The sequence below is a fragment of the Homo sapiens genome, chromosome 11 (genome assembly GCF_000001405.40).
Source record: "Homo sapiens chromosome 11, GRCh38.p14 Primary Assembly".
Lineage (NCBI taxonomy): Eukaryota > Metazoa > Chordata > Mammalia > Primates > Hominidae > Homo > Homo sapiens.
Window position 1 is genome coordinate 115,517,710 of NC_000011.10, and position 24,603 is coordinate 115,542,312.

Below are 24,603 nucleotides of genomic sequence, written 5' to 3' on the forward strand. Positions count from 1 at the left end.
ACTGTAGATTGGGAATATTAAGTAGTTTACCCAAGGTAACCATTAGGAAGTGGCAGACCCAACCGGAAACCAACTAGGAACTTGGACTAATTCTGAAGTCCATGTTATATGCCAAAGATATGGTAAGTAATATGGGTATGTGCCCACATGTGTGCACACACACACACCATCTAGCATCATGTTTATGGTAGGGTTCTCTGTAATACCTCTTCGGTTTTCTTCAAATCCCCTGATGCCATGACATGGCTTCAACCAATGTCTTTCTGCTGTTCTTTCTAGAAATGCTGGTCGGTTGTCCTAGGAGGCATTAATGCTTATCATGCCCTCCATAACATAAAAGTATCAACTCATCTGTAATTCCCTGTTTTCTGGACCATTTCTTTGAACACACCTTGATTTTCTGGGAAGGCTTTGTTTTAATACTCAACCTAATACTCATCCTCTTTGCCCCGGGGTAAAGCCGGCATATTACGTGCACGATTTTTTTAGTCTTTGAGAGTCAAAACCAGTTGCCAGAATACAAAATGAAATAACAAAAGAGAAGCTATAGGTTTCTTTATATGACAATGAAGAGCTCAATGGCTGACTGCACTGCAGTCTGGTGCCTTTATAGTTCCTGGCTGAGAATGGACTGTCTGCCATGTTAGCTCAACAGTGCTCAGTGCCTCTTAAACTTGAACATGCATCAGAATCATCCAGAGGGCTTGTTAAAGCACAGATGACTGGAGCTTCTAGATAGCCAAACATGTGGAGGTTCCTGGAGGGTGGTGCACCAAGGGAGGACATGGAAGCTCGGCGCCCCTTCCCTCCACTACCCCAACAAAATACCAGAAGACTGAGTCTTACTCCCTGAGTTCTTGATTCAGTAGTGTGGGGTGGGGCTCTAGAATCTGCATTTCTGATCTACCAAGTCCCCAAGTGATGCCGAGACTGACTGCTGACCTCAGTGGCACATTTTAAAAACCACTGGTATCAAGAAATTGATTTAGAACTAAATAATGTTAGAACTAATCTGGGTTGCATGGGACAGTGCTAAATGGGGGTCTATCTATATATCCATATATCCATATATATCTCGTATATCTACATTTATATATACGTATGTGCATATATCACAACATATGTGAATATGAATTTATAACCGTTCAAAACATGCTTAGCCAGATCATTTCTCTTTATCCACATAATTTCCTCCATGGAGTAGCATTCATTATGACATTGTGTGTCTGAGGCAGTGGACTCTGAGGTCAGATAGGCCTTAGTTGACATAACCGATCTTCCAATTACTAGTTGTGCTTCTTTGGACGACTCACTTTAAGCTCTCTAAGATTCATTTCTTCATTTCTAAAACTGAAAAATAAGAGTGCATACTTCATGGTGGTGATGTGACGATTAATGGCTATAACGCAGGAAAAGCGCCTCACATGTTGACACTTGGTAAATATTCCACAAACACAGGTGCAATTGTTCTAGTTCTACAGATGAGGCACCAAAAGAATAAGGGACTTGCACAAGGACCCCCACCTGCTGGGGGCAAAGCTGAGCTTCCTGATCTAGAGCCTCTTTATTTGCAGGCCTGGACTCCCGTTTGAATAATTCCAGCACATTGCAGATTCTATAGACAGCTTTGGGGATGGTGGTACCTCAGTTAATGAAGCCTCTGGGAATGAAGCTCTTTTATTCCACATTTTAAAAGCAAACAAAAAACCCTTCATAAATCATTTGAAGAAAAGCTGCATGTATTCACAGCTGCCCATGACAAAAATACCTCTGAGCACAGCTTCTATTTGTCCCCTCCCAGTTGAATGTAAATAGGGCTCATCGCAGGCAAACCTGTAAAGACGAAGACGATTCCTTTATTCCACCTCAGTGGCAAATGTCAGGTGTTCTCTTTCCTCCTTTTCCTTTTCAAAATAAGAAAGTGTCTGCTATCAGTCATTTGCTCTTATTTGTAGATTGACTTTAGCATGAATGAGCTTCAATGTACAATCACATCTGTATTTTAAGTCTTTCATATTTAATTATGGGAACCAAAACTTTTTCTTCATTAGCATAAATTTCAGGCATTAGCTGCCAGACAGAGAGAAATGAGGGAAGTTAACAGAACCCTGGGATATCTTCTGTTTCCCCGAGATATTAGACGAATGAGCTGGGAACTGTCAAATTCTTTCTTCCAGACAAGTGGCTTAGTGGGGTGTCGGATAGGATGAGGTGGGTGTGGGAGGCTCCCAGAATCTCCATGAACAGCCTCTCAATTTCCCCAAGTAAAAATATAGGTAAAATCCATGTGCTTTCCTTGCAAACAGAATTTGAGGACAGTCCTCAAACTCCACCCAGCCAGATTGCCATGACTGCAGCCCCTCTGTAGAAATTTTGAAACAATCAGGGTTCCAGACTTTCTCTCTGCCCCCTCCCCTCCCTTTCTTACCTGACTTGAGGCTGGGCTCCTTCTTCCAGTCTAGCATATGAAGTTGGACAAATTACTTGGCCTTTCTGTGTCTTGAGTTCCTGGATTTTGAGATAGAAATAATATGTTCCTCACTGGAAACAGTGAGAATGATAAGCGATATTATAAATAAGGCTCCTAGGACAGATCCTGTACTTCAAGGACACTTAACAAATGCTTATTTATTCATTCCATTTGTCAGTCTGTCATTTGGTCAGTCATTCAGGTATACATTTTTGTATATATAATATGAGCCAGGCACTACACTGGCCACTGGAGATGCCACTTGGGCAAGGTATTGTTCTTCTCATTAAACATATCAGCTAATGCAGTGCTTCCCAGCCCTGGATGTGCAGCACAATACCTGGTGGGATGAGTTTCCCTGGACCCCACCTCAGAGCTAACTCAGAGCCTCTGGGAAGGAAACTGTTTCCTTAAAAGCCCCACTGATGCTTTTGAGGCATAGCCAACATTGAGAACCACTCTGGGGGTTAAGTCGGTTCTCTTCTCTTCTGCCAATCCTCCCACCACATTAATCTGGCTCTTCCCCTTCCTTCTGTTTTTCCCAGGGAGACAAGACAGTTTAAGTTTCCTGATGCCTTCTTTAGTTATTTTAGTTACCATTTTATATTTTGACTACTATTTAATACTGTTTTAGTCATAACCCTTTTTGCCTAGAATCTTGGCACACACCTTCTACTACCCATGTATTTCTATGTCTGGTAATGATTCTTTTTTTTTTAAGACAAAGTCTCACTCTATTGCCCAGGCTGGAGTGCCAGGGTATGATCTCAGCTCACTGCAAGCTTTGCCTCCCAGGTTCAAGTGATTCTTGTGTTTCAGCCTCCTGAGTAGCTGGGATTACAGACATGTGCCACCATGCCCAGCTAAATTTGTTGTATGTTTAGTAGAAACAGGGTTTCACCACGTTGGCCAGGCTGGTCTCAAACTCCTGACCTCAGGTGATCCATCCACCTCGGGCTCCCAAAGTGCTGGGATTACAGGTGTAAACTACTGTGCCCGGCTCTGGTAATGATGTTTATCACATAGAAGTTATGGGATGTGTCGTTTTTGTTAATAGAGATTATACCTGTAGACTTACCTGTTCCAAATGGGTTGGGGTTACTGTCTCTAGAGGACTCACATTCATTCCTGTCCTTTGCTCTCCATCTTCAGGCTCCTCCTCCAGCTCATATTAAAGTAACAAATTGTGGTAGTTTGAAACTCAAGTTTCCCATTCATATCAAGATAGTTACTGGTTGGCAAAAAGACATCTTTGGGTACCAGAGGCCTTATGATTACTAAGTTCATACCAAGTGCTATAATTATTATGATGATTTACCACTCAAAAGCCCCTCAATAGTACAACCAAGTCCTTCAAAGATCTATCCAATTTAGCTTTGAATCAATACCAAATGTTATCCAAAAGTCAAGTTCTGTTGTAAGACACTAGACCCATGACTAATCAATAGACAGATAGACAGATATGCAGGATATAGGCTGGTCAGTTATAATTCTAAGCTGCCAGTTTAAAAAAAAAGAACAGAAAATAAAGGAAGAGAAAGGTTAAAATCCCTAGATTGGATGGAATGAGCTGAAGTGTTTTCAAATGGATTTGAGAAACTGAACTGTTCCCAAGCGGAAAGATAAAATGTGAAGCTGCAGTCAGTCTGGCTTTCTGGCTCGCCTAACCTTTTTACTGCTGGATAATGAGGAATCAGCTATAATTTAGACACAGTATTCTTTTCACAGATTATACTGAAGTTGGGGGGAGAAAGGGGAAGAGAGAGAGCCTCACTTTATAGTCTTGCATCATCTCTCTCCAGCAGATGAGACTAGAATGCCCTCCCCAAGAGGCACATGAGGGGAGCATTGCCCTCTGTGTGTTGTGACGAATTTCAAGTCAAGAGGGTGCTTGAATTGGATTTATTGCAATTGGAAGCAAAGAAATTGTAATCTTTATGAGCCAACGACATGGAGCCTTATAATAAGAGAATGAAGGATCATTTCAAATTTAAAGCAAATTAGATTACTGGGGTCAAATCCTTCAGCAGAGACATCGTGCCTTCAGAGCATTGCTCAGCTATTTGACATCCTCCTTCCACCCCAGGTTTCGCATTAACATTTAAGTATTTTTTTTTTGTAAAAAATACATTTAGTACTTTTGTGGAGGGAAAGTGTCCTAAAACTCCAAATGATGAATAGATGGAACAAGAGGCACCTACCAAAAGAATTCACTAATCTCTATGCTAAGCTAAGACTTGCCTTTATTTACTCTAGACCTTCAAGAAACCTCAGCAGGTTATCTGGTAAAGTATTAAGTCTCTAGGGAGTAGCATATACAAATCACACGGGAAAGGGTATCTCACTTCCACATTTTTTGTAGAAGATTTTCTAGCTCTTTCAGTTGCTTGTTCTGGTATTCGATCTCTGAACAAGACCAATAAGCTCTGTCTTACCCAACTCTTCTCTTACAATTTAAGACTTTGTCTCTAGCCTGTCCTTTTTATTTACTGCTAGTCTTTCAAAATCACCCATCGCTAACATTGTTCTAAGCTGGGATATTGCCTATAATTAAGTTTCATTCCCAGTCAAAGATCTTTTCCTTATCATTTAGGCTTGCTTTAAGGAAATGTATGAGGCTGGGTATGGTGGCTCATGCCCATAATCCCAGCACTTTGGGAGGCCAAAGAGGATGGATTGCTTGAGCACATCAGTTTGAAACCAGCCTGGGCAACATGGTGAAACCCTGTCTCTACAAAAAAAAAAAAAAAAATACAAAAATTAGCTGGGCATGGTGGTGTGCACCTGTAGTCCCAGCTACTCAGGAGGCTGAGGTGGGAGGATGGCTAGAGCCCATGAGGTGGAGGTTGCAGCGAGCCAAGATCATGCCACTGTATTCCAGCCTGGGAAACAGAGCTAGACTGTGAGAAAGAGAGAGAGAGAGAGAGAGAGAGAGAGAGAGAGAGAGAGAGGAAGGAAGGAAGGAAGGATGGGGGAGGGAGGGAGAGAGAGAAAGAAAAGAAATAGAGAAAGAAAAAAGAAAGAAAACATATGAATTGACATCTATAAGTATTATAATACTTACATAATAATATTATAATACTTATATTGACATATATAAGTATTATAATAATTACAATACACATCTATCTTGCTATGGATCTGTTTTTTTTGTTCTGTTCCTTCCCTAACCAAGAGCCAGTATCTCTCCTTTCCTTCAACCCCATGTCTAGCTCTGCATCCCTATCCCCATATTTTAGTCCATGATCCTTGGGGTCTACCCACTTCTTTCTACTTTCCGTTTCTTGTCTCTCTCAAGGAATTGGTAAAGTAACAAGAAAAAGATTCTAGTTCTAATCCAGTTTTGTACTGTGACTCATTGAAGGTTAAAACAAGGAATGCGAACCCTGTTCTGGAATTAATAGGTTTGGGAGTCGAAAGATTAAGTAAACAGATGACATTTTCCATTCTTTCGAAGTTTCAGCATTAGAACAACGAGTGGCTGGAACTTTAACGCTTTTTCTCTTCTAGCTCTGTCAAATCTGTGAGTATAAATGATATTTGTCTTCTATCCAATGATCTCAACACACCTTGTTAACATATTTCAATAATTACCCCCATTGCAGAGGCAGAAAGTGAGAGAGAATAATTAGGAATTGGGCCAAGTTGTTCTCGGCAGTGGTGGCCAGAATTGGAGTCAAGGCTCTTTATCTCCTAGACTATTTACTGTTCAGCCAATTCATCCCAAAGAGACCTCCTTTGCCCCTTTCACCAGCATCTCCCTTGAAACACAAATGGGCCAAGAAGACTCACAGCTCTGGAATAGTAATTTCTCTGCTCTGAAGAAAGTTCTCTCTGGAGATCCTTTGTGCTAAGTGGAGGTTTAGATGATCCAAACATTTAAGTGCATATTGATTGCAGTCAGATACTGTACCCTGACCTGCATCACAAGTTCTGGACTGTATTTCTCTGGGATACTAGCTTTTTATGTAATAACCTTCCACCACCTCCCCATGGAACAGAGTGCAGGCCAAAATCAAAGGCCTGGGTAGGGGTCAAAGTTTTACCTATTAAGCCGTGCAGGAGCATGACCTTGAGAACCAAGTTTTGCATTAACTTAATATTGCTACAGAGTCTTTAAAGAACCTAAATAATTGGGCCACCATTCTGCCTAACTCACTCTTGTTTTGTCATTCTTTTTGTTGTTGTTGTTGTTTTAAATCAAGACTAAGATTAAAAACAAAACAAAACAAAAGACACCAGAAGTGCAGCTCTCTCTGTTTATCCAAGTTGTGAGGTTATGATTTGCTCATATCCAACTCTCATTGTGAGGAGGATTGGGATGTTTAAGGAACCCAAACTCTAGAGACATAAGGAAGAAAGGAGCTTTCGAGATACAGAGGAGTGAAAGAGTGTGTTCGGGTATCACAGAAACATAAATCTTTGAGCTGCAAGAGACATTAAAAATGATCTGGTTCAGCTGCCTGTATTCAGACATGGAAAGGCATTAGAGTTTCTCTTTATCTGGGGGAAACTGGGATTCAGATGAGATAACTGGTTAAGTGATTTGGCCAAGGTCACACAGTTAGCAAGTGTCAGAATTGGGACTCAGCCCTGGTGCCCTGCTTCCAAGCACAGTGCTGGCAAAGGAGAGCCCAGCTCATCCACAGAAGGGCTGTAAATGTTCCTTCATCAGAAAAAAACTACCTTCAGGCCAGATGGCTAGGGTTATAAAATTAATATTAATTTTTTTTCCTAAAAGCTCTTTTAAAATGGAGAATGGATCAGTGTAATCAAAAACTCTGTCCAAGAAACATGAGATGTGCATAGGGTATGATGCTGTCAAGGACAGGCTGGCAAGAGGTGCTCCAGAAGCTTCATGGACTTCATACCAAATTATTATAGTGATTTCAATCAGCAGATGAGATTCTGCAAACAATAACATTTACAAGGTAATCTCCATTCAAAGCAATTGCCATTTCCCAAGGGCCAATTTGTGGGAAAGAGCATTACCATCCCAGGGAAGATGTACCTGCTTCTGAATATCTTTCTTGTCTTCAGTTAGCTTTTGGTTTAACATATGCATATAATACATTCTTGAATTTACCTGCATCCACACAGAAACACGTATGTTATGAATATGTAAACACATAGGGTGCTCAAAAGGCCGCAAGATAGTTCTGTAGGATCTTAATCATTATATGTGTAAGTTCCACACTTGCTCTACCAATAGTAAAGAGCAAAACAGTGCTGGGCAGCAGTGTTCCCATATCAAAGAACAAAGTTGAAACTCCCATACAATTATGTTTGATCACAGTAGAAGGTGAAATCATTAGATATTAGCGAGGTGCAGTGGAATAAAAATGATGTGTTAGCGGGGGTTCATTACACTGTATTTTCAGAGCCAAGAAGATCAATGCGTTCATGCATCATGAATTAGGCTCCGGCTTTAGCCTTCCCTGCTCTCCGGAAACCCAACATGATCTATCACCAGCCATACATCACCGTTTCAGGATTGCACATTAACGAGAAAGCTGCAGTTTCCGCCTGTCAAGCTGACCAGCTGCTTCTTTCTCTGCAGAAGGGGAAATATTTCTGGTTCAGGATTTTACTTTTAAAACACAAAGGGGCATCAGAGGTCACTATCAGCTGGGCAGTCATATGGTGTAATATTTGTGTTGTCCCAATGCTCCGATTGATGGTCCTATCCTTCCTGGTCTCTGACCATCCTGGATCCAGGCCTGCAGGACTCACTGCTATAGCTTAGATGTTAAATAAGGACATGGCTCACGTGACACACCTCAGGTCTCCTGGAGCACACCTTCTCCCCACCTCCCCACCCCAGAATTTGCCTAACATCATTGAGTATATTTAGACATCTCAGAGGGAGGTCCATATGTTAAATGTCCCCCTTTTCTATACCCACTACCCCTCTATCTCCTGGTCCACACCCCCTCCCACCTTTTTCCTTTACAGAGGCTCTTTTACTACCCAGCAGTTTGCCACTAACACTTTCCCTTCATTTATTCGCAGTCCACCTCACTTCCCCCCTGCCTGACCCTACACCTGCTAGTGCGGCCCCTCTTCCCTGCTGGTGCTCAGATACCCGCAGACAGTTCTGATCGCTGCTTTTAATCGGCATTTAGCCAGTCTGTCCATATTTAGTTCTTTTAATCTTTCCTCATCATTCAATCCCTCCAGCCTCTTCATCATCTTTTTTTTTTTTTTTTTTTTTTTTTTTTTTTTTTTTGGTGTGTTGCTCTTTCCTGAGTTTTATCCAATTTGTCTATATCATCCTTCTGGCTGTGACATGCCCACCAGCCCCGAACTCCATAACTGCAGGAAGAATGGCTATTAAGGCTTCGCTCCACCCTTGTCTTCTCCTCTACCACTCACTCAGGCCTCTTCGTCACTTACAGAATAAGCAAGAGAAGTTTGTAGGTAAATTTTGGCTGAGCAAGGCCTGCCCCTTTGCTGTCCAGCTCATGGCTGAAACACAAGTAAGGACAATAGAAGGAGTGATGTCAGAACAAAAGAAACTAAAGTCAAGTACACATAAGAACTTCCCAACAATTGTTCCTTGGGGAACAGAAGAGACCTTGACCTCATGTGCCTGGACTCTGGGAGAAGAAGGCTGTCTGAGGAGTTCCCTCTGCTCACCCAGTTTTAGCCAATAGGGCTTGCAGGGAGCATCATGGTTGATGACTTGGTGGCTGTGATTGCCTCTGGGAAACCAGCCTCCCTCAGTTAACATATGGTATAGGATGAAACAGCACCTGGAAAGGGGTGTCTAGTTCCATCTGTGAATATGAGTAAGAACTGGCTGGAGGCAGTGGAGGGCCTCAGTTCAGTGGATTGCAGCTTTATAAGGTTGAACTCAGTAGCAGAAATTATGGACCATGGGCATTGTTTATAGGAAGACATTTACAGAAGGAGGCATATTGTTGAGATGTGCAGACAGCAAGATCCCAGGTCCGGGTGGCTTGTAATCCAGAACCATTGAAGGAAGATCTTTAGGAAGAGAATTTGGTCAAAGCTGGTTAGAAGCAGAGAGATTTTTTTTATTTGAATGAGTAAAACAAAGAGCCATATCTTAGTGATAGACTTTCTGTTTGTTAGGAGTTTTGAATTCATTCTTTTACTTCATTTATACCACTTCTCAGATGTCACTTCCTTAGAAAGAACTTCCTTGAAAACACCATCTAAAATGGTACCCTACTTAGCTTTCTGTCCACTTCCCTGCATATATATATATATATATATATATATGTTTCATTGGTTTAACACTTGATTATTAAATACTCCTGCCAGAATGTAAGCCACCTGAGAGCAGGGATTTTCACAAAGCAGCAATAGCAGTGCCACACACTGGCCCTGTGTTTGAGTGTGAGCTAACTAATGGCTATCCTGCTTTGTTTTTTGTGTGTTTTGTGTTTTTGTTTTTTTCTCCAGAAATATGGAGTATGCAGATCCCAGCACAGACTCACAGGATCTGGTTCATGCATAAATTGGCAAGGTTTAAGTCAGCCTGGTTCTCCTGGGATTCTTAATCAAAGTTTTGCTGAGCCCAGGGTAGGGAGGATGAGTTGGGAAAACCTACCCCTTCCATATTGTTTCCTTTTTAACAGCTTGAAGTGAGAGAAAAATAGTCAATTGTAGAAAGAAGGAAGTGGAAGGCTCAATGCCCCCTCTGCCTCCCACAGGCTGCCATCAAACCTGTTTATCCTGTTTCACTTTTAAAGCCCTGTTCCAAAGAGAGCTCTGTCATTGGCTCTTTCCCCTGTGGAATCACAGCTGCTATGTTTTCAAATACCACCCTGGTTTTCTGAATGGCTTAAAGCTCATTAAGAGATAGAGAAAGAGTTTCTGATTCTCTCTAAAGGAGTACTTCCCTACTCCATGCCTAGCTCTGAAGGCTAGTGGGCTCCCCGCTGTCACTCCACTAATGCCAGTAATCTGCTCGTAAATTCCAAAAACCTAGATCCAGGAACCCTGAAACTTGTGTTCATATTATAAAAATACACTTTATATATTTTAGAGTTGCTTTATCTCTAGCTATACAATTATACTTTTTTGTTTTCTTTTTCATTTTCCACCAATGGTAGGACAGTTCTCCAGGTGGCCTCAGACTGACCCAGTTCTTCTCCTTTCTTCCTTGCAGTTCTCAAGACTAACTGTAGGATGTTCTGGGACTGCAACATCCTGAGATAAGGAAGGAATGACAAGAGCAGCCTGGGCCCTGTTCCAGTTCCCCCTTAGAAACAGGACGTCCTTCAGTGCTTTAGCCCAGCATGTCATGCGGCCTCTGGGAATAAAACCCAGGGTAGGCTGCTTTCTGGAATCTCTTAGCTGCCGTGCAAGTGGGGCACGTGCTGATGAGACTCCATCCATCCACGGCAGCTTTCCTGAGCCTGGAGGGACCAGCTGGCAATGAATCGTAGGCTTTTGTTGTTCCTTGCTGTCTGTCTGGAAGTCATAAATCCACTTCATATAACTCGCTGCATATGAGCGTTTTCTGTCTCACTGGACTCAGAAAAGTTGGTAACCAGTGCACAGTGAGCCTGCTTTACATCAACCACTGGACACTCCATGAGAACCTGAAACTTTACTGACTAGCCCACTGCATCTTAGACTTAATGGCTGGTGCATAGTAGGTGGTCAATAAATACTTGTTGAATGAATGAACAAATACATTTCTATATCATCTGGTCCCCTTCTCTTAGATCAGCTACTCCTAACCCTGGATATGCATAAGAGTCACCTGGGGCACTTTTAAAATTCTCCCCTATCTGGACCCCACTCCAGACCATTAAAGTCAGAATCTCTGGGGTTGTGGTCTAGGAATCAGTATTTTTAAAAAGGTCTCCAGGTGATTCTAACGTGCGGCCAGGTTAGCACGCTCCCCAGGTGATTACAGAGTACGGAGCTTTCACTCCAGTATCTGTGTGTTTTATATGTCATCTCCTGGGCTAGGAAGGACCATGTTTGTGTTTCAGAAATAGCACTCACTATAATTATTATATCTTGAGATTCTGTGGCCATGGTTAATTACTCAGGTGGCAAGGGGGCAAGGGAGATGAGGTAGTACCAGAACCTCCTATTTGGAACATTTGATAGGGAAGCCAACATATCTGCAAGTATGTCTGGAAAATGGTCTTTTCAGTTGTAGTGCAGATATGAAGTTGGTATCAGGGGATCCATGGGAAAGTTGCGAAGTTACCTGCCAGAAAGGAGAATAATGTGGTAAAAGTAAATTGGAATGAGGGTGTTTAGAAGTTCAGACAGATGAGCAGTGGATATCAGTGTGGTCTCTCTGCAGGCTATCAGGGCCCCAGGAAGTTTGATGGAGTTTAGGTTGGAACCATTGACCTTGGGTGGTTAGAAAGGGACTTATTAGTACAAAAGCAGAGACTTCCAGGACAACAGAGATTGGTCAGGCTGGTGCAATAGGAACTCAGGGAGGAGATTAAAACAGAGACTTCTCTACCCGAATCAGGAACTACCAGGGAGCCTGGACTCAGAAATAAAGTTGGAGCTGTCTAGTTCTGTGGTCAGCATCAGGACAGTAAACCTAGGTAATAACATAAAGGGATACTCAATCTTAAAACCATCAGATGCTTGAAAGGAGATTTAAACTACTTAAACAATTCCTGCCATGTCTATTCTGTTCATCAGCGCCTAGCAGAGTACCTGGCAAGGAAGGGTTCTCAATAAATGAGAAAGAAAGAAGCTGGAGCAGACTTGTGCCTGTGAGTGAAGATTGTTAGTAGACTTGGTTTTTGGTGTTTTTAATAGCTTTATTGATATATAATTCACATACCATACAATTTATCAATTTAAAGTGTACAATTCAATGATTTTGGTACATTACATTATTATTAAGTTTTTAAATTATAGTGCAATGTAGATGACATAAAATTTTCCATAGTAACCAATTTTATATGTATTATTTGTGACATTCGTTATATTCACAGTGTTATACAGCCATTGCCATTATCCATTTCCAAAACTTTTTAATCACCTCAAACAGAAACTCTAGCAAGCAGCAACTCCCTTACCTTCTTTCCCCCAAGTTCCTGGTAACCTCTAATCTACCATCTGTCTCTACAAACTTGCATATTCTAGATAACTTATATAAATGGAATCACGCCATATTTGTCCTTTTGTGTCTAGCTTGTTTCACTTAGCGAACCTAGTTTTGAGGTGCTGGAAGGGTAGTGGAATGATGGGGAAGGGGAAAAATGGACCAGTGCATGTTTTTATATTGGTGGTAGTAATGATCTTGTTGCTGCTTCTGCTCATAAGAAACACAGGTCCTGTGATTTTTGCTTTGATTTGCCAATGCTCTGAGGGCTAGCATCAGCCCCTATCACCACCCTCTACTCCCTACCCCAATCACCTTAGACAAAATTGGATTTTCCCTTCAGAGTTGCTTTTCAAACTGGTACTAGAGCAAGTATTAAGAAGCTGTTGTAGCCTCCTGATTAATATACGTCTTCATAATAATTAATTGAAGGGATGCTTTGAAGTTCTGAGATAGAGCACAGAAATCATTCTCTTTCTGAAGGCAAGGCTGGGACTTCCTCTGCATTCGCAGCCCAGAGAGAGGGTTGTTTTCAGCTTGGACAATCAGCTCATCCCAGGCTGCTCCTTCTTGAGGGGAGGAGGAATAGCAAGAACCCTTCCCATTGACTGTCTCCCTCCAACCTCCTCTCTGCTATTTTCTCCCATCCCCTCAGCTCTCTCTATCTCTTAGGACAGCAGCCAAGCTCTCACACTGCAGCTGGGGGCGCAGCTGAGCGGCTGGTGTTCACGTTGGGCCCTTTGATGAGGAAGTATTCTCACAGCAGATACAGAGGCCTTGCCAGGGAGGAGAGACCATCATGAATGATTATTGCAGCAGAAGGTCAGGGTCCTTCTTGGTAGAAAGGTGCACCGACTCCATCAGTCCAAGTGGATGAGGACATACTCAAGGTGATAGATACAGCCTGGTGGCCCAGGTTTGTTCTTTCTGGAGTCTCTAGACAAAGAGAACCAAGGGCTTGTGATAAAGAAGAGGATGCACGGGGAGAGGAGAAAGAGAGTCTGAGAGATGAGACTGCTTGGGGAAAGAAACGAGAGAAAGATGAGGGAAGCAAGGGTGGAGAGGTGGCTTTGCCTGAATCTAGATAACACCCACTAATCCCACTGCCCGACTCACATTTCTTAATCAGGCACAACTGGAATTCCACGAGGGTTATTTGTTGGGGAAGGACCTTGATAATCTGGAGATGGTCTCTAATAAATGATATAATATATGCACACACTTGCAGAATAAATCCTCGTTGGGTTTTCATTCATTTAGAGGACTGCGGATTTGATCTCACCGCTCTGGGACAAAATCAACTAGACTGTGATTTATAGCCAGGGTCTATTGGTTCAGGTATCCATCTTGAATGATATCTGATGGAATTAACTGTAGACAAACCCCAAGCAGGCTATTATATTTAATGTGGTTCTAGCTCCAATTCCTTTCTCACTAAGAATTTAAAAATTTTAGCCAAGCAGGTCCTGTTTCTATTTGAATTCTTTTCTCATCTTCTTGGTTCTTTATCTTTCACTATATCCCCTGCTGCTTTAGCCAGACCACCTACTTTTGAATGGTTGCTTCTTTTTATACCAATTGTAAAAAGAAATTCTCAGTCTCTTTGGCAGCAATTTCTTAAAGTTTTCCCTCTAAGTACAGAATCTCCATTAACTGTATTTCTGTAGCTCTAGCTACTGCTGTTTATAATAGCTACTATACAGGTCCATGTAATACTGAACCATTTGTGAATTCATTCTATGAATTTTCCATGTAATTACCTATAACTCTAACAACATTATTTTTTTATAAACCGTAGCCTTACTCTGTCTTTCTGCTTCGTGTGTTCTTTGAGCCATTGTGAGGCATTGCGAGGGATTTTTTAGTCTCTGACTTATTTTTTTGTAAAAAGAGAATAACTCCTCATCTTAGTAATAACTGGAAAAATTTTCTTCACCATATAAAACACATTGACTATATATTATGTCTTGTGTTACTTCATTTCTAGGTGCTTTTTACTAAACAACTTCATGCTCATATCCATGTGAAGATATGAACTTTTATGTGTAGTGAGAACACAGAATTAAATGATTGAGTCAGTTGCATATTTCAGTGAGAGGTTTTATTTTTAATTCCATAAACTGGGCATCAAAACAAGCAATATAAAATGTTCCAAAAGAGGTCTTGAGACTGTCTCCATGGAGGAACTGTGTTCTTCCAGTAGGAGACCTTCGTTCAGAGAGAGGCATCTTCTGCACTGTCTTGTTTCTCCTCATTGGACCTGAGACTTCGCTCGGCATAGTTGAAGTTTCTTCTCTGGGCCTTTTGGAATGAGTTTGCTGAAGGTGGGGCTAAGGAAGCTGCATGCAGTTGTATCATGAATAACACAGTTTTTAACTGTGTGGGACCATTACATGTGGATTTTTTTCAATCAAACGCGGATCAAAAATAAGACTATTGCTGAGATGTGAAACCTGCGTGTACGGAAAGCTGACTTTTGCTACAGGTAGTTCTGCAGAGCTGACTGGTGGACTTGAGCATGTGTGGGCTTGAGTATACCCAGGGGTCCTGGAACCAATCTCCCATGTATATTGAGGGACGGCTGTAACTGTTAGAATAAACAGTGCTATCAGCTACTGCAGATAAACCCCTACACCCCAGTCAGTGGCTCAGCAACAGAAGTCGATTAGTCACTCACATTATATTTCAGTGAAGCTGGTCCTAGTCTCATGGCTTTCCATGTGGCAATTCAGGGACAAAAGCCTTGTCCATCTTGTGGTCTGCCCCTCTCCAGACCCTCAGACTCCTCTTCGTTCAGCTGGAAGAGGAGAAAGGAGATCTGGGATTATAAGAGAGAAGATTTTTTTTTCTTTTTTTTTTTCAGAGATGGAGTCTTGCTCTGTCACCCAGGCTGGAGTGCGGTGGCATGATCTCGGCTGACTGCAACCTTTGCCTCCTGGGTTCAAGCAATTCTCCTGCCTCAGCCTCCCGAGTAGCTGGGATTACAAGCACATGCCACCACGTCCGGCTAATTTTTATATTTTTAGTAGAGACAGGGTTTCACCATGTTGGTCAGGCTGGTCTCAAACTCCTGACTTCATGATCTGCCCACCTTGGCCTCCCAAAGTGCTGAGATTACAGGCATGGGCCACCGCACCCGGCCGGGAGAGATTTCATGGGCCAGACCTGTAAGAGGAGTACATCTCTTTTGCTACCATTTCATTGTTCGAAACTCAGTCACCTGGTGGCACTTACTCTCAGGGAGGCTGGGAGATGACATCTACCTGTTTGCCTAAGAGAAAAAAATGGGCTCTGCCGAGTATATCACAATCTATGCTGCAGGCTGGGACCGCTTTCTGGCTTCACTGTTTGCCTCTGGTTGCCCCATATGTTTGGGCTCCTTCTCTCCCTATCGCTCCAACATGAGGAGAGGACAGCAGCCAACATGTCCCTTAGGCCGGTTAAATCATACCATGATCCTCATGCAAGGGGCAACATCTGTGTGCTGTGAATCCATCGTGTGTCAGGCACTGTGCCAGGGAATGTGGACAGTGACACACAGTGTCCCGAGGAGGATTTAGGAACACCTCGGTGAAACAGAAAGATCCCTCCTCCTGTGGGAAGAATCCATGGGATGGGGGGCAGGTGTAGTGGCTCACACCTGTAATCCCAGCACTTTGGGAGGCCGATGTGGGCGGGTCACCTTAGGTCAGGAGTTCAAGACCAGCCTGGCCAAGATGGTGAAACCCTGTCTCTATAAAAATACAAAAATTAGCCAGTTGTGGTGGCGGGTACCTGTAATCCCAGCTATTTGGGAGACTGAGGCAGGAGAATCGCTTGAACCTGGGAGGTGGAGGTTGCAGTGAGCCGAGATCACACCACTGCACTCCAGCCCTCCAGCCTAGGCAACAGAACAAGACTCTGTCTCCCCCTACCCCCGCAAAAAAAAAGGAATCAATGGGGAAATTGAGATTATTCCAGAACACACTTCCCTTCTTAAAACCCTTCAATTAGTGCTTCCCATCTTCCCTCATTCCCATCCCACCATTGACAAAATGAGAAATCTAAATTTCTTGAGCTGATTTATGAGGTTCTTCATGATCAAGCTTCCACTCACCTCTCACTTCTCACCACTCTTTCTTTCACACCCCAACCAGGCTGAAGTCCCTGTAGTTTCCTAAATGCTCCATGCTTTCTTTTAGCTCCAGGTTGTGGGGCACATTATTACTTGCCCTGCTTTGGAATTCTCTCCCCTCCCTCTTTGCTTGGCAAATTCTTTTCTTATTTAGCTCTCAACCTGGATGTCATTTCTTCTAGGAAGCCTTCCTTGCCCTCGCTTCACTCCGCCAGGTTGAGATAAGTGCTCCTGTTTTGTGTGCCCACGGAGCTACTAAAGTTCTTATCTTAGTGTTTGCCCTTTTAGTGTCCGTACTCTCCAAACACTGAGTCTCTGAGAATATTATCATTGTTCATGATAATATCTTTAGCACCTGATACAGTGCTGGACCACAGCAGGTACTCAGCCAACAGGTGAAGCTCTGCCACAGCCATGCTCCCCCGTAACAGCTTCCATTACCATTACCTACTGTCTTTCCCACCCATTTGTAATTTACACCCACAAGAGAAATCAATGAATTTCCATCACTAACCCTGATTTTCTGTTTTGTTCTTGTTACTTTTTGCTCTTCTTGGAACATTTCACTTAAAGTGGTGACTTCCCCTGCCCATAGCTGCGTGACGTAATGAATTGTTCCCGGGTTCCTCGCCCAGGTATCTGAATGCCAGCACATCCCGCATGTCGCCTGGACATGGATATCCATGAATTGCCAGTCCTTCCCGGTTGGTCAGGGTCTCTCTCCTCAGCTGCTTCATATTCTCACAAACACACGTGGACAGTCCTAACTCAAACTTGCCAGGGAGGACGCGGTCTGAAGACATGTGGACGTGGGAGCCTAAACTTGGTTTGGGCTTTGCTGCCCTCAGTTAAAGAGTCAGTAGATGGGTTTGTTGTAGAGACTAGCACTCCTGGACCTGTGAGGCTGGTTTGGGTCCAGGTGCCTCCCAGGCAACGTGGAGCAAGGTTTTCTTTCATGAGTCCTGAGAAGTAGCCTGCATGATAACTGCAGAACCATGCGTCACTTCATTGATTCCTTCATGCATGTATGCATTCATTTACTCAACCAATACTTATTGGGTTCCAACTATTACAAACATTGAGGATGCAGAGGTGAACAAGATAGAAAAAGCCCTTGCTCTTTTTTCTAATGAGGAAGAGAGAAACTAAGCAAATACACAGAATAAAAAAAGAGACCACATATAAAGTGATTTCATACAGCAAGATGTGCTTTCTCAGACTTCTTGGAGGGGCCATATTCTTATTGCGAATGGAGGACTTAAGCCCCTCTTCTTCATTTGAATTAAGGTTCTCCCCTCAGTTGATAAGATACCCACTCCCTTTTAAGACACTCAGAGTGCTCTGCAAATCTGCATCCACAAACCTCCTGTCCCCCACTCCTCGCAAGAAGCAGCTGCTCTCCAAGGCCATGTCAGCCCATTCTTCATCCTTCCTGAACCTATGAGCAAGAAGTCAGGCTATCAAAAACAGCTGGAGCAGAACTGGGCATCATTTGTGTTCCATCTGTCAGGCTTCACCTGGTTCCCAGGCTTTGTGCCTCTCTCCTCCCTGAGCTGAATCTACTTGCCTGCCAGATCTGCAGGCTCAGCTCTGCCCCAGGCTCTAGGATCAATTCTGACTTCAGGCAGGAAGAATTTAAGCTGCTGCAGTCCAACTGTGTTGATTTGGTCTTGTCACCCTGGCTGCTTGCTTCTTGTCCCTAATCTTGTGCTTCATTCTGACAAGTGGATTGTCTGACATATGCCTTTATCCCTAAGTCCTTCCTTGGTTATTTTCCTTCTACTCAGGCCCTCAGAATCTGAGGACATTCCTTCTCAGACAAGTGTCCTGCCCTGGCCTCCAGTCTCCTCAGGGATTACATCTTGTCCTTTTAGCTTGCTTCCTATAAACAGACATCCCCAAAGGTGTCTTCCTGCCTGCTGGGACTTCTGTGTGTTGCCCATATTTGACTTATTTCTTATGTGCATCTCTGCCCATCTACGTAGTAGGTGACCCCTAATATTTCCTGCTGAAGCCCCGGAGCTAACCTCCGGCCCCAACTCTCATATGGTCCCTGAATTGATGGCTCTGCGCTCCCCTTAGGGCTTGCCACACCTGAGTAGATGTCTAATTCCTGATCTCAGAACCCCTGCTGTCTTTCCTGTCATAATGCAATTAATCAGACCACACCCAGCTGTGTTCTAAGATAGGACTCTGCCTTCAACTTGGGACACACCATCCTTCTTCCATCTTTTAAATTCCCCCAGAGGTCTCAATTGAATAATCAAGAAAACCCAGGGTATCTGATAATCAGATGACCAGGTAATGGAGATAGAGGCTAATGGAGTTTCCTTAGCTTAGCTGGGGTTGGGGAGGCGGGGGAGGGCAGGAACAAAACCAAAAAAAGGAACAAAAACAAAAAACAACAAACAACAACAACAACAACAAAAACCCAACAGATCAGGGCAGCTGTAAGTGAGACATGGCAACCTTGCTAAGTAGGGATCTCAAGTCCCTGTGGTCTGAGGACAGATGTCCCATAAACCCTCATTTATATTGGGTGGTTCATTCTGCCATAGGAAGTTTATCTTTCTTGTGCTGGAAACCAGGGGAGCTCAAGTGGGAGCCCTCCTCTCTAAAGCTTGCCCCATGCCCAGAAAAGGAGCCCCACTCCTCACCTCAAGGTGATACTGTTTAAATCCAGCATTTGCAAGCCTTGTCTTCACAGTCCTGACCTACAGCCCTTGCTGCTTCTGTACCTGGTCTGTACCTAACCCTCGGCTTTGCCCGTCTGATTTTCTATTTGCTCCAGCCAAACCTCTAACTTTAATGCCTTAGTTTCTGCTTCTCCTGCTTCCAGTTACCTTTCTCTTCTTTTTCTGACTTACAGCATTCATTCATTTATTCATTCAAGTTCCCTGCTCCTAAGGAGCTTGTAGTCTAGAGAGACAGCAATTGCACAGTTATTGGTTATAGTTATGAAAAACGTTACACAGAAAAGTCTGAAGATGCTATGGAAAGGTGCCCAACTTCCTCTGGTGGATCTGGGAATGCTTTCTGAAGGAAGGGAGTTTTAAGCTGTCCTTTAGAAGCAAGAAGAAGGGACTCTGGGAGGCTGGGATGAGGAGGCAGGGGGAACATGAAGAGCCTTTCAGCCTCAAAGGAACAGCACGGACAAGGGCCCTGAGGCAGGCAGGGCTTATCTGTGTCTCTCCTCCTGGCTCAGCATGGCCCACCCTGTCTACACAGGAACCAACAGCTGTCTTCCTCAGCCTGAGAACCTTCCCTTTTGTACTGTCATGGAAGCCATGTGCACACATCCTGGAATTCCCAGGATACTGCCCAGTCTTGGCTTTTGAGCTGAGCATTGAAGGGGCAGTTGTAGGGAGTGCATCCAGGGAATTCGAGATCTTTATTCTCTACACTGGGCCTACATGAATGGGTAGTGAGCATTTTTGGCCTTGGAGAATTCATCCCAGGCTCTAGTGTTCCTTATGCTCCCCAACCCTGACTCTTTGAGCCCACCCTTCTCTGCCCAGGCTTCCAAGGTAAGCATCTGCATCTAACGCAGTGCCTGGCTCACAGTCAGCCCTCCACAAATGCTAGCTGATTTGATTAGATTTGACCTGGGTCAATGTAAATAGGTGCAGGAGGAGAAACAGAAGAGAGAAATCAAAGGATGATGACTATAAGGGGAGCCGTGATGTAATTTTAACCTGAAAATTGTCTGTAAATAGTCTGCACAGTTTATTCAAACCTCAGTCTTTCATAATCCAATTATATGCAAATGCCCCTGTGGTCTTCCTTACCATCTTGAATACCTGGATAGAGCATTTTGAAGAACCACAGTGGAACTCCTTGAGGTAAGAAAACAAAAAAGACAAGGAATTCAGGATCTTTAAGTTGAAAGACAACAGCAGTCGTTTAATACAAAGTGGAGGCCAGGTGCAGTGGCTCACACCTGTAAATCCCAGCATTTTGGGAGGCCAAGGCAGGAGGATCCCTTGAGTCCAGGAGTTCGAGACTAGCCTGGGCAACATAACAAGACCCTGTGTCTACAAAGATAAAAATAAAAATTTAGCCAGACATGGTGGCACTCACCTATGGTCCCAGCTACTTGGAAGGCTGAGGCAGGAGGATCACTTGAGCCTGGGAGGTTGAGGCTGCAGTGAGCCAACTTGGGCAACAGTGTGAAACCTGGTCACAAAAAAATTTATATAATACAAAGTAGTCGCTTCTCCAGTGGAGACAGCTGTCTTCAAACCTCCTTACACATCTGACAGGTTACAAGCATTGCCTTATTCCATTTTTGGAAATTGCCAGCTAGTAGAAATGCCTAATGTTGGGGCAGAGTTGTCCTCTCTTTCTTTCTCTTTTTACTGCAAAAAGTTTTATTTCCATTTGGTCCAAGGCTTGAGAAAAAGCTCCAAGGTGGTTAAAAAGCTGCCTAGTGGCTGGAGGGAGAGGCTCAGGCAGAAGCCCTGACACCTTGAAGGGGATCCTTCAGAAGTTTTTGGGCCCAGTAGGCTCCTAGTCATGCCTGAGGGTGAGCCTTTGGAAGAGGAATTTGCCCAGCCTGGCCTGGGGGCCAGTCAACCTATCAAGGTTGGTCAGGTGGTTGTCCACCTTCTTGATGAGTTTCACTTCCTCATTGAGGAAGTGGCTCTCCAGGAAGTCAAGATATGGAGGTCTGTGTGGGCAGAACCCAGGACATGAAGATCTAAAAGACCCTGGTTCAGCTTCTTCTCCAAGGCCGTGGCGGCTCCCATGGCATCCAGGGTTTTACCCCACTCATCTTGAGGTGACTTATGGATGTCCTGGAATACAGCACTGCTGCCACACTGGTTTTGTATCTTCAAGAGATGCTTGGAGCTCCGTGCTTCTCCTTGTCCAATTCATAGAAGTGGCCCACAGCTTCCAGAGCCACATCATCATGATGGAGACAGAAGCCCAGCGAGAGTGGGTGGAAGAGGCTCACTGATGCAAATTGACCAGGAGGTTAGTGGCTGCCTCCACGTCGGTGGAATAATTCTGATGAATCTGGGAGCTTCTCATTGGTTGGCAAGAAGGAGCTAACCACAACAACTGTGTGGGCTGATCCCAGAAGCAGGAGATGGCCAAGATGATCCCGGAGTTTGCAAGTGAAGAGGAGACTGGAGGATGCTCGGAGGCTGGAAGAGAGGGAGTCCCCGGGTCTGTTCCATCCAAACACTGTTGAAGAAGAAACATATTCATGGGACTGCTGAACACTCTGCCTGCCATTTCTCTTATTGGTGTGAGTTCTGTTTTTTGAAACCCTTTCAATTAAATCTGATTCCTTTTCTATATGATTTCCATTTGAATGTTGGAAGATGGCCATCGAGTCTCCCCAAGATGGAGAACCGCCCATGTTTCCTACCACGCTGTGGAGCCCTGTCCTGCTGGCTCAGCTCTGCACAGGCTCTGCGACCATGGGAAGGAACATTGAGAGCCCTGAATTGCAGGCACCACTGGCCAATACTCCCAACCCCATCACTAGGCCATATCTGGTCACGAGGACTAAGTCATGTAGTCTAGCCCCTGTGACCATATTTATTCTCTAATTCCCAGATTTCTGTTTTGTCTCCCTGCCTGGGATCCATTACCTTGGATTGGGGCCCTGTCTTACCTCACAAGGCCTCCCTAGGAGTAGAGCCAAACCTCTGTCCCTGTAGGTGAGTCCCCAGCAGTTGCTGCCAAGTTCTTCTGCCTGCCTTCTCCTTGGCCCCTTGCCTGCTGCCAGACTCCACTGGTCCTTTCTGGTCCTGTCTTTGACATGAACTTCCTGCATGGCCTTGGATTCCTTGTTTTCCAGCCAGCAAATGGAAGGAGTTTTAATGCATTGGTGGATTTAAAAACTAACCCCATCTAAGAATCACCTGGGGGAAACTTTATAGAGTGCCAGTGTCCAGGGCTGGAACTGGGATGAGAAGTGAAAGGTGCTTAGCATGCAAAATGTAAAGTGCATCCCTCTCTGGTGCCAACTCTGCCCTGGGAGGGCCCTGAGAGTGACTGTCTCCTTACATTTGCTCCCCTAGGAGCCTGGCTTGCTTTACCCTGGCCCCAGTCCTGCCATTACCAGGACAGTAACACCAGAGATTCTAATCTATGTGGTCCAGGAAGAAGTCCCAATAATGGTATTTTGAAAAACTAGGCAGGGGTTAATGTGTGTAGCCAGGGTAGGGAATCGCTGGACTAGGTGGTCTCTCAGGGGTCTGTCACCCAGGAGAGGGCTCCAAGACCCTGGGACTCCTAACTATATTCTTCTACCCATGTTTGGCCTTGGGACTTTGCTAGTAGCTTGTGATGTCCTATTGTTTCCTGGAGAGTATGTCTCATTTCCAAACTCCAGCCAGGCTCAGTCAAGCCCATCCTGCCCCCAAGAACCCCAGGCTAACCAGGCCTTTGTTCTGACCAATGTCTTCTCCACTTCCAAGCAAAGCTTCCCTTAGATAGCCAAGGTTCCAAACCCTCCATTCTGTTGGCTCGCCTTTGGATATGTTCCAGCTGCCTGTGCACCGTCTACGTGATGGGATGGGGAGGCTTTACAATACTGAAGTATTCGGGTACATTTTCATTCATTCAACAAGCATGTGCTGAGGACCTGTCCTGTGCCCTGCACTGTGCTATTTGCTGAAGAGTACAAAGATAGAGTGATATATTCATGCCTAGGGTAGCTTATGGTACATCAGCATTTCCCCAAATGTGCTCTGATTGTTAATGGATGTTATACAAAAGCAAAGCAAAACAAAACAAAACAACAAAGAACACTTCTTGGTAAAATGATTTAGGAAGAACTGAGTTCAAATCAACAGGTTTCTTTATTGCAGGACTTCTCAGAATCTTTAGTTTGCTAACATATACTGTGTATCTCCATAAGAGAAGCTCAGTATAATATAATTCCCAAATATATTTGACCATCCACTTAATATGAAATACTCCAAAAGGCACTTTGGATAATGCTGTCATAGAATGATAAATCTGGAATCAACTGTAATTCTAGATATGAGAGCTCTAGTAATGTGATCCAAGGTTGCATTAGCTCTTTGAGCAGCCACATCACTCTGTTGACTTCTCAGGAGCTGTAAGCTGGCTAAAATGCTTGGGTCTTTTTTCACACAACCATCCTTAAGTAGGTCTTTCTCTTTCGCTACTTGGGCTATCGACTTTTTGGAAGTGGAATATAAGGCCTATCAAGTTTAACTTTATTGGTTCGGGGCCAATAAAGTTAAAGGAGTTACAGAGGTTGAGATCTTTTTTATCTGAGTCCTGCCCGCCAACATATCAGCTAGGTTTCCCTGCTATGTGTTGCCTACAACGTAAGTGAGTAGGCCTTCTTTATCTTCATCCAAGCCTCCGAAGAATGTGGTGAATGTGACAGATCTCTGTATCGCAACACCAGAAATCTTCCTTGGAATTGGCATTGATCCTTTCACCTACACCGCAGTCATGAGCTGTGTAGCAATGTTTCAGTCGACCATGGACCACATGTGTGACAGTCGTCCCATGAGACTATAATCTCATATATTTATTGTGCCTTTTCTATGTTTAGTTATATTTACATATACAAATACTTATCAATGTGTTACAATTGCCCACAGTATTCAGTACAGTAACATGCTGTACAAGTTTGTAGCCTAGGAGAAATAGGCTAAACCCTATAGCCTAGGTATGTAGTAGGCTATAACACCCAGGTTTGTGTAAGTTGACTCTATGATGTTCGCACAATGACATAATCACCTAATAACCCATTTCTCAGGACATATCCCCACTGTTATCGATGCAAGACTGAATTGGTGTGCAGTCATGCAACAAATTCACCTAGCTGAGCCCTAACCCTTAACTGGACTCATGGCCCTTCATCTGGGTCAAAGGATAACATGAGAGTTTTTGGGAAATCCTTCATGGAAATCCACATTCCTTTAGTCTACCAGTCTGGTTATACTTCCAAAAAGAAGA

The 24,603-nt window shown here is 43.8% G+C and overlaps 1 long non-coding RNA gene and 1 pseudogene across 1 annotated transcript; both read right to left on the reverse strand.

The window, feature by feature from the left end:
* Window positions 1-1,206: 1,206 nt before the first annotated feature.
* Window positions 1,207-2,511, reverse strand: LOC105369511 (uncharacterized). Its single transcript, XR_948048.2, has 3 exons — window positions 2,429-2,511; window positions 1,834-1,904; window positions 1,207-1,350 (listed from the first exon to the last, which is right to left on the reverse strand). It is a non-coding gene; the product is annotated as an uncharacterized LOC105369511 (long non-coding RNA).
* FTLP7 (ferritin light chain pseudogene 7) lies at window positions 21,009-21,874 on the reverse strand (annotated as a pseudogene).